Below are 17,271 nucleotides of genomic sequence, written 5' to 3' on the forward strand. Positions count from 1 at the left end.
TGCCTTTTTTCTGTTTTGTCTGGCTGCCCCAGGGGACACATGGGTTTCATGAGAGTAAGGAAGTAGGTATTTGTTCACCATTGTGCACTCAGTGCCAGACGCAGGTGTCAAGCGAATGTTTGATAAGATGGTTGAATGTCATCTTAATATGAAAGGCTATTGATTAAAACCCCGCTAATATTGCCATGGTTCATATATTGAAACTTCCCCTCATGTTCTTCTCAGTCCATGCAATTGACCTTCCCACCAGTCTTGGGAGAAAGGTTGGTTTGTTTGAGGGTATGTTTGTTGAGGATTAGACTCTTCCTTGAGCTGTATACAAAGGAGTGAGGATGGAAGCAGGCAAGAAATGTGGAGAATCCACCATAACCCCTGGCACCAGGGAAGTAGTCAGAAATCACCCTTGAAACTGAATGCAAAGCAAGGGTAGGGTATAGGCCCCCGTCAGCATCAAATGCGCTGCTACTTGGAATGTCCTTAGGACTGTAGCTAGACATTAAACATCAATAATTATCCCTTGAAAGAGTCAATTAAATTTTGTCCCTTCAATTTACAAAGCAGAAAAATAAACATTGAAGTCATCTCCCAAGCGCAAAAGACTTTTAGTTTCCCATTCAGAAATCAAAATATTAACTCAATCAGTAAACATGTATTGAGGGTCTCCTACGGGCCAGGTGTGTGCTAGTTTCTTGGAGTGGGAAGCCAGGTGGGACAGCCTGTAGGATAGAGCAGACCAATGAGGGAGACACCTGTATGTGCAGATAATTGCTCCAAGTCAGGTAGGAAGAGACAATGACTAAGGGACAGGGGAACCCCAAGGTGAGAAGTAGAGAGGAGTTCGCAGAAGAGAGATTATCTGTCTCATCCGAATTACTGGGATGGGGAATCTCTAGTTTGGCACTGCACCAGCCCTTTCAGAAAATTCCCTGCAACCTGAACTAAATCCAAGGCCAGGGAACCTGTCAGACCTCAGGTGATACTCCAGGGACACATTAAATACGAAAGGGCTTCTCGTGAAAAGCAAAGCAAATCTTAGTCATTCCACTGCCTGGGGGAGGGGGATAATTACATAAATAAAGGTTGCTTTTAACTTATCACACAACAGCAATTCTCAAATAATTAGCGTCAACAAGAAATTAGGTCCACTTATCCCAATAGCAGAGGAAAATTGTTTGACAAGAGACCGCTCCAGGGTGCACTCTTCTTTGATGAGGAAGAGGACAATTTATCAGAGGACCCTGAAAGCAGCCTCATGATCAGAACAGGACACAAGAGGGACTTAGCAAAGAAGAAAGCTGCAAGCCCAGTTCTCAGACCCAGCACTCAACAGGTCAGCAATGGACTGAATGGCGTGAACCACATGATGCACCCCAGGTTATTGAGCTAAGCTTCTTGGAGACTGGAGCAGGAAGCGGTGTTGGAACACTATGGCTCTCAGCTGGTCTTCAACCATGAGAAGAAATTCAATATTAGCAGAAAGGAAGAAAGGTCATGCCAGGCTGAGAGAGCACCCAAACAACAAAGGAGCTAATCCAATATGACGCCCGGACAAAGATAAAGTCTGTGATGAAGTGGGAGCTATTGACGGGGATTGTTCAAGGCAGATGCTGATTGTATAAGGAACTCAGAGGTGTGTTTTCTTTTTTTCCACTGACATTGAGGATCCTGAAAGTTTTTAACAGGAAAGTGATTTCTGATGTGTGTTTCAGGGAGACAATTCAGGTGGTGCTGAGGCTTAACTGGAAGAATGAGAAACAGGGGAAGGAAAAACAATGATTGCAAAAGTTCAGACAATGAATGGCAGAGTCGGGCATCAAACATGGAGGTGGATGTATGGGTGTTGGAGATCAACTGGATGAAGAACAAGAGGGTATGGAGAAACATCCTGGCCTCCTAATTGTTAGAATTAAGAATGTTATCCCTTTATGTTCACCTAAGGAATGTACTGGAACACTCACAGCAATATTCTTCATAATGGTCACCTGAAAATTACCCAGTGTCCATGATACAACAAAATACCACATGGCTACGTGAAGAAGGATCTCCAGCAGAATGCATCAGCTTGGGTGAATTGCACGATGCTGAGTGAAAGAAACAAGAATGTTCCATGTACCCACCAAAAAAAGTATACATAGCATCATTCCATTTATGTTCCGTGATCCAGGGAACACAGGGAGCACCTCTAGGATGGGTTCTGATGACCCGGTTCCAAATTCTGCTTGCTCAAGTGTGCCCACTATATGAAATCCACCCAGCCATGTATGTATTACTTATAGGCACTTCTATCAAAATATATTATGCTTGAGCTTTTTAAAAGAAAACTGCCCTTATAGTGTCCCTTATGCAACATTAAAGCAATTTTAATAGTAATAACAATAATGCCTCCCATTTTGGAATGTGCTAGAAACTGGTAGGTGCTGACAGCAACCTTGTGCAATAGTTTTTTTTTTTGTTTTTGTTTTTGTTTTGAGACAGGGTCTCACTCTGTTGCCCAAGCTGGAGTGCAGTGGCATGATCATAGTTCACTGCAGTCTCAACCTCCCTGGCTCAAGTGATCCCCCTCCTTCAGCCTTCTGAGTAGCTGGGGACCACAGGCATGAGCCACCATACCCTGCTATTTTTTTGTTAATTTTTTTTTTAGTGATGGAGGTCTCGCTTTGTTGCCCAAACTGATCTTGAACTCCTGGACTCCAGCAATCCTCCTGCCTCAGCCTCCCAAAGTGCTGGGATTACTGATGCGAGATAGATTTTAAACCTTAATTTTATAGATAAGGACAGGAGGGCACTGAGATGTTAAATAATGTACTCTAAAGCCACCATCACTCTTCGGGAACAGAACAGGATTAGAACCCAGGAACTCCTACATTATACTGACTCAAGATTCCACAGGAGTGTTCCAATAAATGTGGCTGTGATGATTCTACTTTAGACATTGCATTGGCTATGTCTATATGGCCCTACTTTTCTGGAATAAGCTGAATCTGTCACTCATGCACTTCCAAACATTTGAGTTATTGATGGGTTCAGCACTCTGCTTCTTTCCACAATCCCAGACCTCTCCAATACACACCTTCTTTATAAAATTTTCAATCAAACAAATGAATTTAACCCAGAAAAGCAAACACATTTTGGCTAGAAAAGTCATCTTTTTTAATCAGTTTTTGTGTTTCCTATATAAACCAGCAGCCCAGAGGTACTATTTCTGAAAGCATTTTGTAATGGAAGATTTTACATGAGTGCTATTTAGTATTATCATTATTATCCTTGTTATTAATAATAATGATTTATAGAGTAGTTTGAGGAGGCACTTCTATTTAGAGACTAGGAACACAAGCCTGATTTGATACGTAAGCCAGCAAATGTAATAGGAAGAGGAAAAGGCAAGGGGAGAAATTAAAACAGATGGCTCTATCTTGGGCAGACATCTACCTTCAGGGACCAAGAAGCAGGTAATATGAAGGAAAGATTCAGCAAAAACAAAACCCAAGGACAAACATTTCTCCACTACGTCAGTGCAAGAGATGCATTCTGCTGAAACTCACTAACCCCAGCCAAGTGCTGTCTGTAGCACCCTGATGGGTTAATTTCCAACATATAGATGTCTAGGAGCATTTTCAAAGCAGTTTTACAAATAAGATTATATCACACATGACCTTCACAAGAATGCTGTGAGCTAGACATGGTGGCATGGCTTTTTACTGCTGCTCCATCATGCTGATAAAAGTATCGCAAACTGTATGAGCACAACACTGTGTGACCACATCACAGAAGGACACCCTGGCCACTCTACCATGTAAACGTGCTACAGCAGGAAAATGATCCTAGGGCCCATCTTGTCCAGCGACCCATGGATGCCATTGACCCTAGACCTGGATGGGACCCAGGAGTTTATATTCTAAAAATAACACTTCCTGAAAAAATAATCATAGGATATAAAAGAAGAACTCACATCTTCAGAATGATAGACTTACTTGGAGTGTTGCAGAGGGAATAATCCAAAAACTCTCTCACTAACATCCTGGGGAGAGTCCAAAATAGCAAAGATAAAGAGAAAAACCCTAAAAGCTTATAGAGAAGAAAGGTGTTATCTTCAATGGGATAGTAATCAGATTCACATCAGTTTTCATCCTTTGAGGAAAAATGTATTTCAACTATACACACCTAGCCAACATACATATAAGTACACTAATATGTCTGCAAAGACTATTTTCTGCAAAACAACAATAAAATTGAGACTACAGTCAACTGAAAAAGAAATCCAAGAAAAATAGAAAAAGGGTCCAGGAAATCCAAGGAAAAAATGGAAACTAAATCTAGGAGGGGAATCAAGTGAAATCTCAAGATGAGGAGTGTGCAGCAGAAAGCAATCAGTCCAAATGGGGCAGGAAATCGACCTGTGCCAGAAATAACATCTTCAAGAGAAAGCAGACTTTGTCATTTAATTTGTATGATGAAGAAGCTGCAACTTCTTAATGGGAAGATGAAGGCTTAGATTTTTTTCTATCAGAAAAAATAAAGGAAGCCCATGGAAAAACAAAAACACCCACATGAAAGGCATGAGTTGAATATGAAAAATTAAAATGCAGCGTATTTTTGAGGAATTAATTAAGGATAAGTAAGGAAAGGGTTTGGGTTTTTTTTTGCTTTTTGGTTTTTTTTTCATGTTTTACCCACATTCCTTTGAGTGTCATGAGTTAAGAGAAACAGCTTTTCAGTCCCTCTGTGGGTCCAGGCAGACACGTGACTCTGCCATGGGTAACGTGGACCCTGGAGGCCACAGAGCTGACGGGCTCTGAGAAGAGCTCCAAGGTCACGGACTGCGCGCACACTGCCTCTGCCACTTGCTAGCTCTGTGACCTTGGGCAAATTAGTTCACCTCTCTGTGCCGCTATTTTCTCATCTCTAAATTGTCATCTCCTTCATAGGGCTGTTGCAGAGATTAAATGAGCTAATGTATGGAATGCATGTAGAATGGTAAGTACCCAAATTTTTGGTGTTATTACTATTATTATTACAAAATCAAAATATAGAAATAATAGTTGATTTCCCATGCAAAGCTATTATTAAAATTACCCTCTTAACAAAAAAATGAAAGATTAAATCAGAATGAAATAACACAAAAGAAATATAAAAATCAGAAAGGGAAAAATAATGGCATAGCTACTGAAGCAGAGAGGCTGCTGGTGAGGAGGGAGATTGCTCATTCCTTCATCTAAAGTGTAAGTAACTGGATACTGTGAGAAGTGAATAAATCAAGCAAGAAAGGATTTTGTGTCTGTCTATATAATTTCAAATAATTTCATTAATAATTACAATTCATTATTAATTTTCATTAATATAAATGTATTTATATATTTGATGTACATATAAATATTTATGAAGTTTGTATATTTATAATTGCTTACAATAATCAATATATTTAACTGTAATTTTTAAATGTAAAACCAGCACTTAACATGGTATTTATCAGTAACAGAAAGCAGGTGGTGGAGAGAGAAGGCAAATTAAGAATGAGTACTGACGTCTGCAGAGTGCTTACTATGTGCCAGGCACTGTTCCAAGAGGTCTACATATATTATTTCACTTAATGTTCTAACAACCCTAAAAGTTAAGCATGATTATTATTATTGCAACCATTTTACTGATAAGGTATTTGAGGCAGAGAAACTAAGTCCTTCCCCAGGTCCCATGAGTAGTGAAAGAAAAGTGCCTCTTGGCCACTATCTCTAACAGTGTTCCTCTCTCAGAGAGGGGAGTTTCTAAGAATGGTTTAGATATAGGATTTAGCTTCAGGGTGGCCAATACCGGAGGGAAAAACAACTGTATTGGGATAAACAGTGTCCCTCAAAATGTTCACATCTACTCAAAACCTCAGAATGTGACCTTATATTGAAATACAATCTTTGCAGATATCATTAGTTAAGATGATGTCATACCAGATTATGGAAAACCCAGTGATGGCTGTTGATATGGTTTGGCTGTGTCCCCACCCAAATCTCATCCTGAATTGTAGTTCCCATAATCCCTATGTGTCGTGGGAGGGGACCCAGTAGGAAGTAATTAGATCATGGGGTGGGTTTTTCCTGCACCGTTCTCATAATAGTGAATAAGTCTCATGAGATCTGATGGTTTTATAAAGGTTAGTTTCCCTGCACACTCTCTCTTGCCTGCCACCATGTAAAACGTGCCTTTGCTCCTCCTTCGCCTTCTGCCATGATTGTGAGGCCTCCCCAGCCATGTGGAACTGTGAGTCCATTAAACCTCTTTTTCTTTATAAATTGCCCAGTCTCAGGTATTTCTACACAGCAGTATAAAAATGGACTAATACAGGTGTCCTTATAAGAAAAGGAAGAGACACAAAGAAACAAATGGGGAAGACCCATGGGACAACCGCGGCAGAGACCTAAGTGATGCAGCTACAGGCCAAGGGTCAGGGATTGCTGGGAGCCACCAGACTCTAGCAAGAGGTGAAGGGAAATTCTTCCCCAGAACAGTAAAGGCCATATGGCCCTGCAGACACCTAGCCTGCAAAACTGAAGAAATCATTTTCTACTGTTACATGTTACCCAGTTTGGGTAATCAGCTACCCCAGCTCTAGGAGACTGAAACAACAACCAACCCAAAACTTTAAATTGAAATGGTCCAAATTAGAGGAAAAGAAAGAGAATGTTACCTTATGCTTCAACTCTCCTGTGTTCCTTTTTGTGGGGGGTGGACTCCAGGTGGCCCCAGGAACCCCACCTCTTAGTGTTCTCATATTGTCTGACACTCAAAAAGCAGAGGACTCAGTTAAGCTGCCCACAAATCCTTGACCCACAGAAGTTGATATAAAAACGTCAGGCTGTTTTAAGCCACTAAATTTATGATACTATTGCCATGTATCAATAGCTAACTAATATTCTCCTATAATTAAAAAGAGCAGTAGTAAGCATTTCAATTAGTAACGGTTTTCTGGAATTAAAAGTAAATTTAAGATGACAAATTATTGTGATGAACAAAGTCAGTTGGGAACAAGTCCCTCATTAAACAAATAAGGAAACTAAGGCACAGAGAAGTTAGGCACATGGGCAGTTACACACAAGTAATTAAGAACTGAAATGTCACTGAGGCACACACATCCCCACTGACCTACCATTTTCTACTTCATTGCTGCCTGCAGAATGACAACACCCTCTCTCTCTCTCTCTACATATATATAAATATATATAAATATATAAATATATATGAATATATATAAAATATATAAATATATAAAGATATATAAATATATATAAAGACATATACATAAATATATATAAAGATATATACATAAATATATATATAAAGATATATATAAATAAATATATACATATATAAAAGGAGGAGGAGGAAGAAGAAAAGTAGCCAAAAGCAATATAATTGCTCAAATCGAAGGCAAAGATCCAGTTTTGTCTCAGATTATATTCATGGTAACCACTGTTCCCAACATTTCCCCCCAGTTTCTGGGAGGGTAGATGTGTTAAACAGGCACTTATTAGACAGTTTTTTTGACAGCTGCTGCATTTGCAATTACTGTAATATAATTTTTTTTCTTCTGAATAGCTGCAGATTTTGTTTTTGTCTGAGCTGAGGTGGAAAATTGAGAAATAGCGGATTCAAAAATAATTGACTTTATTAGGAATATGAATGTATTACGCCCACCATATATTAAAAACTCATTGCTTTTATATTGGCCTGGAACACCGTACAATACTTTTATGGTTCCCTAGTCTCCCCGTTCCCCCTACTTTACTGTTCCCATCAGCTTTATGTTCCTCATTCCCTGTCACATGGAAAAAATAAATGGTTAAAAATCTAAGTGCTCATCAGACACAAACCAGAGTTCATAAATGAAAGTGGGCATCCTTGGGTAATTTAAGATATTGCTGTGAGCTGGTGTTGCCAAAAACGATGCACTTATTGAACCATAAACAAAAGCAATTAAGATGAGATGTTGATTACTGTGAAGGGAAGTTCCCCAGTAGTATAGAAACCACAGGCCACAGAGGGGGGTCTCATTTGCATAAGCATCTCTGGAATCGTGGGATATCCAGGAAGGTCTGTGGAGGCTCATCTGCTAAAGGATCCTTAGGATTTCCTGGGAGAAATCCTGAGAAGCCTCCCTGGAACATTCTGCACAGGGAATCACAACTACTAGGCAAAGAGAGGAGACAACGGCTATTTCTTTGTGGCACAGCCAGGAAGTAAGGCAAGTCCCTCTGAGGTACATGAAAGGCAGAAAGACACACGCAAACTGCAGTTGGAATGTAATGCTGTTGAAAGCTACCTGGTAAAGCATTGCCCATGCCCAATGACAAAGAACTCACTGGAGAAGGTCTAGCTTCAGAGAAAGACGAGGAGACCTTCTGGAGCCATTCTTAATGGCTGGACCCTCCAGGCTTGGCCAAAAGGCAACTGTGCTAGCAAGATCCCAGGAACAGAAGTCTGGATCAACAGCCGATAGAGCACTGGTGATGATGCCTGACTACAGAAGTTGCAAGAACTACAGAAGTGAAAAGACATCTGAGTTGTTACAAAGGAATAAAGGAAAGGATGCAGTGACTTTTTTAAACCTGAAAACAAAACTGGGCAACAGGTCAGGGCAAATACCATAGCAACAACCAACTTCCCACCCCACCCAGCCCTAGGTTTTCCACCACCCCCACAGCTGGAGCAGCTGCACAATTGATGATCAGAGTGGAAATCTGTGAACACACTCGGTCTCTAAGATTCCCTTTCTGGGGCGGAAAGGCAATCCTGATTATGGAGAATCATGCCTAAAAATCCTCAAGAGCCAGGCACACTGTAGGTGCACAGCAATTTTTTACGGAAGGGAAAAACAGAAAACAAGGAATGGCTGGATGCACCGATGGAGTGAATGAGTGTGTGCATCACTGAGACTGAAGTTAAGCTGGGACTGACATTTAGAGCCGCCTGGAGGGGGCAGAGAGGGTGGAAAGAGCACACCAGGGCAAAGCGCCCTGAGACATGTCTTAAGCATTGAGCAGGAACAAGACAGGCAGGAGAAGAAAAATGAGCGTCCAGCCAGATAGATGATGTTGGGTCAACTCAATCCTTCCCCGTCTGTCTGGAGTAACTCTGCAGGCACACATTACAGCATGCCGATCAGCCAAAGGGAGCAGTGATTGGCATCTCTGAGCCAGCACCTGTGAGCAGACTGACATTCAGGGAGACAGGTCCAAATGCCACCGGTCAAAGGCCAGAGAACCTTGCAGCCTGACTGGGGCCACTCAGACAGGTGCGATGACAGCCGATCCCATGCAATCACCCTGAGTAGTGGTTTGAATTTCACTGAGTGGCCAGTTCACTTAACCAGGAGGTATATCTGTGTTCCTCTAGATTTAAAAGGTGTGGAAACCCAGAGAAAGCAAACTAATGTTTAAAGACCACCTACTTTGTGCCAGGCTCTCTGCTAACAGCATAATGCTATCCCTTTGAAAAGTCGGTAAAATTCTAAGTAGGGGTTTTTTAGCCCTATTTTATAGATAGAGAACCTTGGGCTCTGATGAATTAAATGGTCTTTAAACATTCACACAGGCCATGAGATAGAACCAAGATCAAATCTTCATTTCCTGATCCACGGAAGTCTTGTTCTTTCTTCCACTCTGACATTGACAATGAGACATACAGAGATATATGCAAGGTAGGATATTTTTCAAGACAAACAGACAGAGTTGGAAGAATTTTAAGTGTTTCCTTGACTACTGTTGTTGCTATTCTGCAACTGAAAGAGAAAGAATCCATGGGGCAGATGGAAAAATAAGGTGGCATGCAGGGGTAGCCAGAAGAGATAGAAGAAGTGTCATTTCTGGTGTGGAGCTTGTACTTCATCCAGAATTCCATGATAGAGATGATGAGGTTGGTTATGAGATGGAGGCTGAGGCTTAAGTCATTGTTTCTGACAAAACTAGGGTCCCAGGGCAGACTCCAAAAGATCACCAGGAAGGTTAAAATAGGTTATATACAGAGAAAACTCTGATACCCTGTGCCAGCCTTGAAAGGGACTCAGTCACTGAATGATGACCACTGCTCTCATCCCTGTGGATACAAAAGCCCATGAGAGGAAGAACTACATTGCCAAGGTCACAAGACAAAGCTCTCTTTAGGGAGACATAGCTTCTGAGACCATGTTTATAGGATTCTGTGATTTAATTCATTTATTCAATAAACATCTATAGGAGTAGCTCCCTTGGAATGAACTATTGTAGGTTCTAGGAATAGATCAGTGAACAAAATGGATAATAAAATCTCTGATCTCCTTGGGCTCCTATTCTAGGGCCATGTATTCTGTTTACCTCCAGTATTACCATGTTTCTTCTCCAGGTTTGTATCAGAATAGTCCTGTTGCCTTCCTCCACAAAGAAGTGAGCAGTGAAGATGTAGGGTGGGGTTTTTACACAGAGGACACCTTAGATTTGAATCCTGGATTTGTCACAACCTAACTAAGACATCCTCAAAAATAACAAGTTGCAAGGGTATTTCTTATAATATTGGGGAAAATAATATTTTCCTTGAAGGGTGTTAGAAGAGTTCATTTACATATGCTAAGTCATTTAGGCTACTACATAAACACCGAAAATACAAATATCTCTTTAGTGCTGATCTCTCTCTCTCTCTCCCCAAGCCTGAGTTCTGTATCAGATAGTAAATCATGTATTCCAGCTTCCAGTCCTAACTCTGTTCCCATAGCAGCTTCTGCACACTGAGGGAATATGCATTGTTTGTAAATGCAACTTATGTTCTACAATCATAGAACAGAGGAAACCCCAAATCATTAATGGCAAGGGGAGGGAGAGGAAGGAAGGAGAGGCAGGGAGACCAAAATGAGGCATTTCTCTGGTACGAGGCAATGAGCCTCTTCACCAGGACTGTGATCCAGTAGACCAGGAGGAAATGTTTTCAAAAGATTTTTAGGAAGTCTTTATCTATAGGTCATGCCTACTGATGAGATGTTAGGGCTGAGAGAAAGGGCAGCATCTAGCATTGTCCAGTTTCTGATGTGAGCTACTGAATGGGGAATAGTGCTAAAGACTCAGTGGGAACAAGGAAGTGCTCTGGATATGTTAAAATTGACGTGCCCAGCGGGTATGCAGGAGGTGATGACAACTAGGGGTTAAAAAGAAGACCCTGGACTTTGTAGGAGAAGCCTGGGCAGGAGGTCAAGATATGGGGGTTCACTGGCATGTAGGTGGTACTTGTTATCAGGAGAGCAAATGAGATGATTGGGGGAGGGTTAGTAGAGTGTGAGAAGGGAGTTGAGTAAGAAGACCAGGGATAATGCTGTTTAAAATTGGCCAAGGATGTGAAGTCAATGAAGTGACTATGAAGAGGCACACAGAGCTGGAGACTGAGAAACTACAACTGAACTTGTCACCCACTGTGATGGGGGGTAAAGACACAGCAATCCTGCCAAGTTCAACCCCCCTGACCCCGCCACCACCAGCTCACAGCAGCAGGTAGGATGGGCTTGCCAATAGGTCCCTGGGACACACCTTTCTTCAAGGAGTGCAGAGGGAGGGCTCTGAGAATAACACAAACAGCCATAAGTTTGCCCAAAGAAATGTCACATTGAAAGAGCCCCAGCCCCAGAAAGGTATGGTGTTGGGGCAATGACTGAAATTGTAGCTGAGATGGGAAGCTCTAGAGATGAAGAACATTCATTTGGTTTCCTAGGACTTTCTGAATGATTCATTCTTCTTCTCCTCTGTGAGGTAGAAATGCAATAGAAAGAAATCTACGGTTATAAATTTTCTCGGTTCCTTCTTACCGAGTCAGGCAAGATTGATGGACTAAGCTGGTTGACACAGAAGCAATTGGGAATATCGTTATTTGCCTTGTATTTATCTGCATTTATGTTAATGGCTTTGTTCTTGATCAGAGCAGCCAGGAAACTAGGGGAAATGTTTATTGCACTCAAAGTTTTCCTGTGATGAATTATGTGGGAGTCGTAGAATAGCCAATGCACATACGTGTTGAAAATATTTCCCTCATTTTTTTTCTGCTTCTGATCCCAACAGCACAGACCTCCTGCATACTTTAGACCAAACCGACTCAATTTTTTATATTCTGCTTTGTCATCTGATTGATTTAATGCTTCTTGTGGTCAGATTTTGCAGAGAAAAGGATACCCATACAATTTCTCTCTCTGGCATGCTCTTGTTTGCTTGCTCCTTTTTCAAAGGGTAATTTCATAAAATCACAGGACCAGGAGGGACCTTTGTCCACATTTCTTCCCAACTCCTCACTGTACAGAAGCACTTGGGAAAAAAAGGATGAGAAGGAAAGAAGTCACTTTTTAAAAATCTTTTAGAGGTCAGGCTGTGTGCTCAGATGTTTTACTTGTATTAACCTATTTAATCTTTATGAAACTCTATTATCCCCATGTTGAAGATGAATAAATTGAAGCTTGGAGAAAGTCAGACACAGGCTGGCAAACCACTCTATGTAGTCCAAATCAAGCTCAGCTTCTGATTTTGTAAATAAAGTTTTCTTGGAACACAACCAAACTCACTCGTTTACGTATTGTTTATGGCTGCTTTCAAGTCACAATGGCAAATTTGAGTGGCCACAGCCAAAATCATGTGGCACACAAAGCCAAAAATGTTTACTATTTGGTCCTTTATAGAAGTAGTTTACTGACCCCTCTTTTAGGAAAATTGTCGTGGTCACAGACAGCATATCACCTGCGTGTTGTAAGACCTTGTTCTGTCTCACTCCAAACATCTGTTCTTTCCTACCACAGTACTGCTACACCCATTCACAGTGTCCACCACATACAGGAAGAATTCGCTCAGGTGGCCTCTCGTGCATTTTCATCTCAAAAATGCACCTTCTTGAAAACCTGTAAGGCTTTCTGCAGGCAATTATAGGCAGCAGCAAGGGTATGTGTGCTGTGAGGCATTTGAGGAACAGGTCTTCCCTTACCCTTCATGCCACAGTGGGTTCCATTTTCTGTTTTGCAAAAAGGAGACCAAAATGGAGATTAGTTTAAGTAGAACCTTTCTTCCTTTAGGGGACGGTTTCCTGGAAGAGGTAGATTTTGATGTAAGTTCTTCATGTCACAGGTCATGCAAATTTCTCTAAAAGATTCTGAGGGAAATGGGAAAGGGTGAAAAATGCTTTTGAAGACTGTAAACCATTCCAAATGGTGATGCTGAGGAAGGCGAGTGAAGGTGGTAATGCCAGAAGCAGCCATTTGCTGAACGTGTCATGGGATTTACATAACATTCAAGTTTACATAAAGTTTCTCCAATCAGCACCACCCTTGAAAAGGTAGGTAATTTTGTGACAGGAGGAAAGAGAGACCCAGAAATGTGAAGAGACTTACCCAAGATTCCACATTTAGTAAATAATGCAGATAGGACTTGAATCCCAGTATGCATGCAAAGCCCACTCTTTCCCCATGTGCCACTTCTTAAATGAAGCCAGCAGACTGAAGAGGTCACTTTAAGAACTGGCTCCAAGGATTGTATTCAAGCTTTCTCAGGGTTAGCTTTTCTTAGAAGTGAAGTAAATATGAGTTAACGGAAGCCAACCAAAGGCAGATATTTGTGGGCTTCATTGGAGTTGGAAGTCTGAAGATGGGAGAGAAGGGGGCATGGTCTATGAGGGTGTTGAGGGGAGAGCTGAAGGGAAACTAAAATAAAGAAACAAAACTTTCAGTGGAGGTTCCCTGGACTGGGAGACCTGTGGGTATCAGTCAGAGATAGGAGACCCACAAAAGACCAAATGTGCAAAACAAAATGTTAAAAGCAAATAAGAAGGTGGAAGAGATGCCCATCCATGGAGGCCAAGTCTATAAGGCATCTGAAGTGTGATGTCTGACCCTGGGAATCTGATCTGAGGTGAGATCTTTACACAATTAGAGGGTCTGTTTAATCAGAGAATTGCAGAACATCAGGTGCAGAGGGGATTTATGGGACATTTGGTCCGATCCTCATCTAATCCTGATGGTGCAGGACGGGTGAGCCCCAAAGTGGGGCTCAGCCTGTGAGTGTTCTTGGCTTCACCCAGGAAGGACTTCAAGGGTGAGCTGGTGGTAGGGTAAAAGAAAACATCTTTATTGAAGGGGCAGTGTTAGAACTTTGGCAGTGCTTTGCAGAACTTTGCAGAGCAGGGATACCCCCTAGGCCGTGCTCAGGGCACTTTTGCAGTCATGTTTATACCTATGCTTAACTGTATGTAGATTACAAGGTGGGGGTGGTTTATGCAGAAATTTCTAGGGAAGGGGTAGTAACTTTTGTGTTATTGGGTCATTGCCATGGAAAGGGGCAATAACTCCTGGGTGTTCACCATTGCCATGGCACACTGTCGGGCATGTCTTATAGAAAGCTGCTTTTGCCCCATCCCTGTTTTAGCTAGTCCTCAATTTGGTCTGGTGTCTGAGCCCACCTTCAGAGTTGAGTCCGACCTCCTCTACCTCACTGACACTCCATGATGGCCACCACTGAGGATGCACAGGCCCCACAGATGCCACTTGATCACCTTTAGAGACCAGGAATCGGCTGGGCACGGTGGCTCACACCTGTAATCCCAGCACTTTGGGAGGCCGAGGCAGGCGGATCACGAGGTCAAGAGATCGAGACCATCCTAGCTAACATGGTGAAACCCCGTCTCTACTAAAAATATAAAAAAAAAATTAGCCAGGTGTGGTGGTGGGTGCCTGTAGTCCCAGCTACTCGGGAGGCTGAGGCAGGAGAATGGCATGAACCCAGGAGGTGGAGCTTGCGGTGAGCCAGGATCGCGCCACTGCACTCCAGCCTGGGTGACAGAGGCGAGACTCTGTCTCAAAAAAATAATAAATAGAGAGCAGGAATCCAGTTCCTACAGCACCGGGCAGCTCCAACTCAAACAGGTGATTTCCCTGTGACTTATATCAATCAATTCCAATTCTGCCTGCAGGATGGTAGATAGGACAAACCTAACTACTGCTTTTCTACATACAATTTATTAAAATATGCAGACAGCTAGCATATACCCTCAGGACCATCCTTTCCAAGTTAAACACAAAAATCACCACTAACAGATGACTTCCGTGCATGATCAGCCCACTAGGAGCATTATATGCTATCTCATATCCTTAAGAGGTTTTCATTACTACCTGCACTTTATAGAAGAGAAAACTGAGGCTCAGAGAATGTAAGTAACTTCCCCATGCTTCACTTGTAAAAGAGATGGATTTCCAACACAGATCATTCTTTGAATCCCCTGTGGTTTCTGACACCAAGATTTTGAGCTCCCTCACCATTAGGGTAACTTTAGACTTAAAAAAAAAAAGCTGAAAAGAGTAAGTGGGCATGCTTTATTTTTTTCATTAAATTGACATGGAGGAGAAAAAGTAAATTATAAGTACAGTTGAGTCAGAGCTGTATAAGAAAAACAATTCACTAGTTGAAAAATGACTTCCTGTAAAATACCTTTTTAGGTTGTTTTTGATGTTTACAATAAAAATCAGTGTTATGTGTCCCTGTAAATCCAGAGGAGAAATTCACCCAGTTTCCCAGGAATCATCAATAAAATCATATTTCCTTATATTTATCAAACAATGGGAATATATATTTGATAATTAGGTAAACTTCCTCTGTCATTTTAAAATCAATAGCATCTTTAAAATGTACTTTCATAATAATCTCTTCTAATAAAAAGTGTCAGAAGAGGCAGTTTCATGGACTATAAATTTATAGACAATGAGGTTAAGCAAGGTGGATACGTTTTCAAAAATGGTTATGAGTTCTCAAGCCTCCAAGGTTGAAAGACAGAAATCAACTATAAAATTTTGGTTTTTAAATGGCACCATAAAGGCCAATGCCAGTTACAATTTCCAGCCTTTTTTCCTTCAATTCTTATACCCAACACCATTTCTAATTAGGAAACTGGCCTTCTGTGAGCACCTTAACGAAGCTGTAACTCCTGCAAATTCTTCTGTCTGGAACATCTTCCATGTGTTACAGATGAAACCATCCACAGCCATATCAGCTGAAAGTTTGACTTCCAAAGACCCAGGGCATCCACTGCCTGACAAGCACTTACTTTCTGAATATTTTAAAGACAAGGGGATTAAACACTTCAAAAATAACAGATTCTTCTTTGCATGAAAATATAATATGTTTCCATCTTGATGTAAAAGAATAGCTTGTTATCACGGTACATCTGAAGAAAAAAACAAATTACACATGATGCAAAAGTTTTCTTAGCTAATTAATTCAATTCTGAAGATAAAATTGAGACAGTACAGAATTACAAGCAGATTCCTAATAAGATGTGAAATCTAGCAATTTCAACTAAGGTACCAGAACATCTATTTCCAGGAGACGAAGTTTCTCGTGGCCGCTTAGGTTGGTCATTCCAGACCAAGATTTGCAAAAAGCACTAATATACTGATTAGTGATTTGTCCCATCACTCCTGCAACGTAGAAATTTCAGGATCAAAATTTAGACTAAATTGGTGGAAACTCTCATTACTTTGTACAAATTAAAATACCACCCAGGAGAATGGAATTCACCTATAATAGTGATATAAAGATGCATTATAAAACCTACATCAGTTACACAATAAATCAGTCTTTGAATTTTTAAATTTGTGGAAAGGACATGGGTTTGAAGTCATACATATCTGGATTTCGATAATTAATCTACCAGCTATTTGCTATGTGAGAGAACAAAACATCATTAAAAATCCCTAATACGTACTCAATTTTTTTATCTGTAAAGTGGAATTAAAAATATCTACCTCAGGGTTTTGTCACTGTTGTTTAAGAATTAGAACCAAAAGTGTATTGGTGTTTAAGAAAAAAACATATATTATAACCCTCAACTGCCTTTTATACATGTTTGCTAATAAAAAGAAGAATCCTTTTGTTTTGTCGTGAAACCAAGATCTTTTGAACATCGCAAAAATCTTGAGGAAGTCTTTGGACTGTGAGAAGACATCGGTAGAGGAGGTGATTAAGATTGTTTCATCCAGAATTCCAGCATCTAGAAAGATTCTAGATCAGGGGTTCCCAACTCCTGGGCCGCGGACCAGTCCATGGCCTGTTAGGTATCAGGCCCAACAGCAGGGGGTGAGCATAGGGCAAGCCAGCATTACTGCCTGAGCTCTGCTGCCTCTCACATCAGCAGCGGCATTAGATTCTCACAGGAGTGGGAACACTATTGTGAACTGAGTACGCAAGGGATCTAGGTTGTACACTCCTTATGAGAATCTGACTCATGTCTCATGATCTGAGGTGGAAC

The 17,271-nt window shown here is 41.2% G+C and overlaps 1 annotated feature.

The window, feature by feature from the left end:
* Window positions 7,735-8,342: an enhancer, noted in NCBI's record as "NANOG hESC enhancer chr16:65747170-65747777 (GRCh37/hg19 assembly coordinates)". NCBI's record gives its function as "activates a minimal SCP1, AML or CMV promoter by ChIP-STARR-seq in primed H9 embryonic stem cells {active_cell/tissue: H9 hESC(primed)}" and the evidence as "EXISTENCE:reporter gene assay evidence [ECO:0000049][PMID:30033119]".

The sequence above is a fragment of the Homo sapiens genome, chromosome 16 (assembly GCF_000001405.40).
Source record: "Homo sapiens chromosome 16, GRCh38.p14 Primary Assembly".
NCBI lineage: Eukaryota > Metazoa > Chordata > Mammalia > Primates > Hominidae > Homo > Homo sapiens.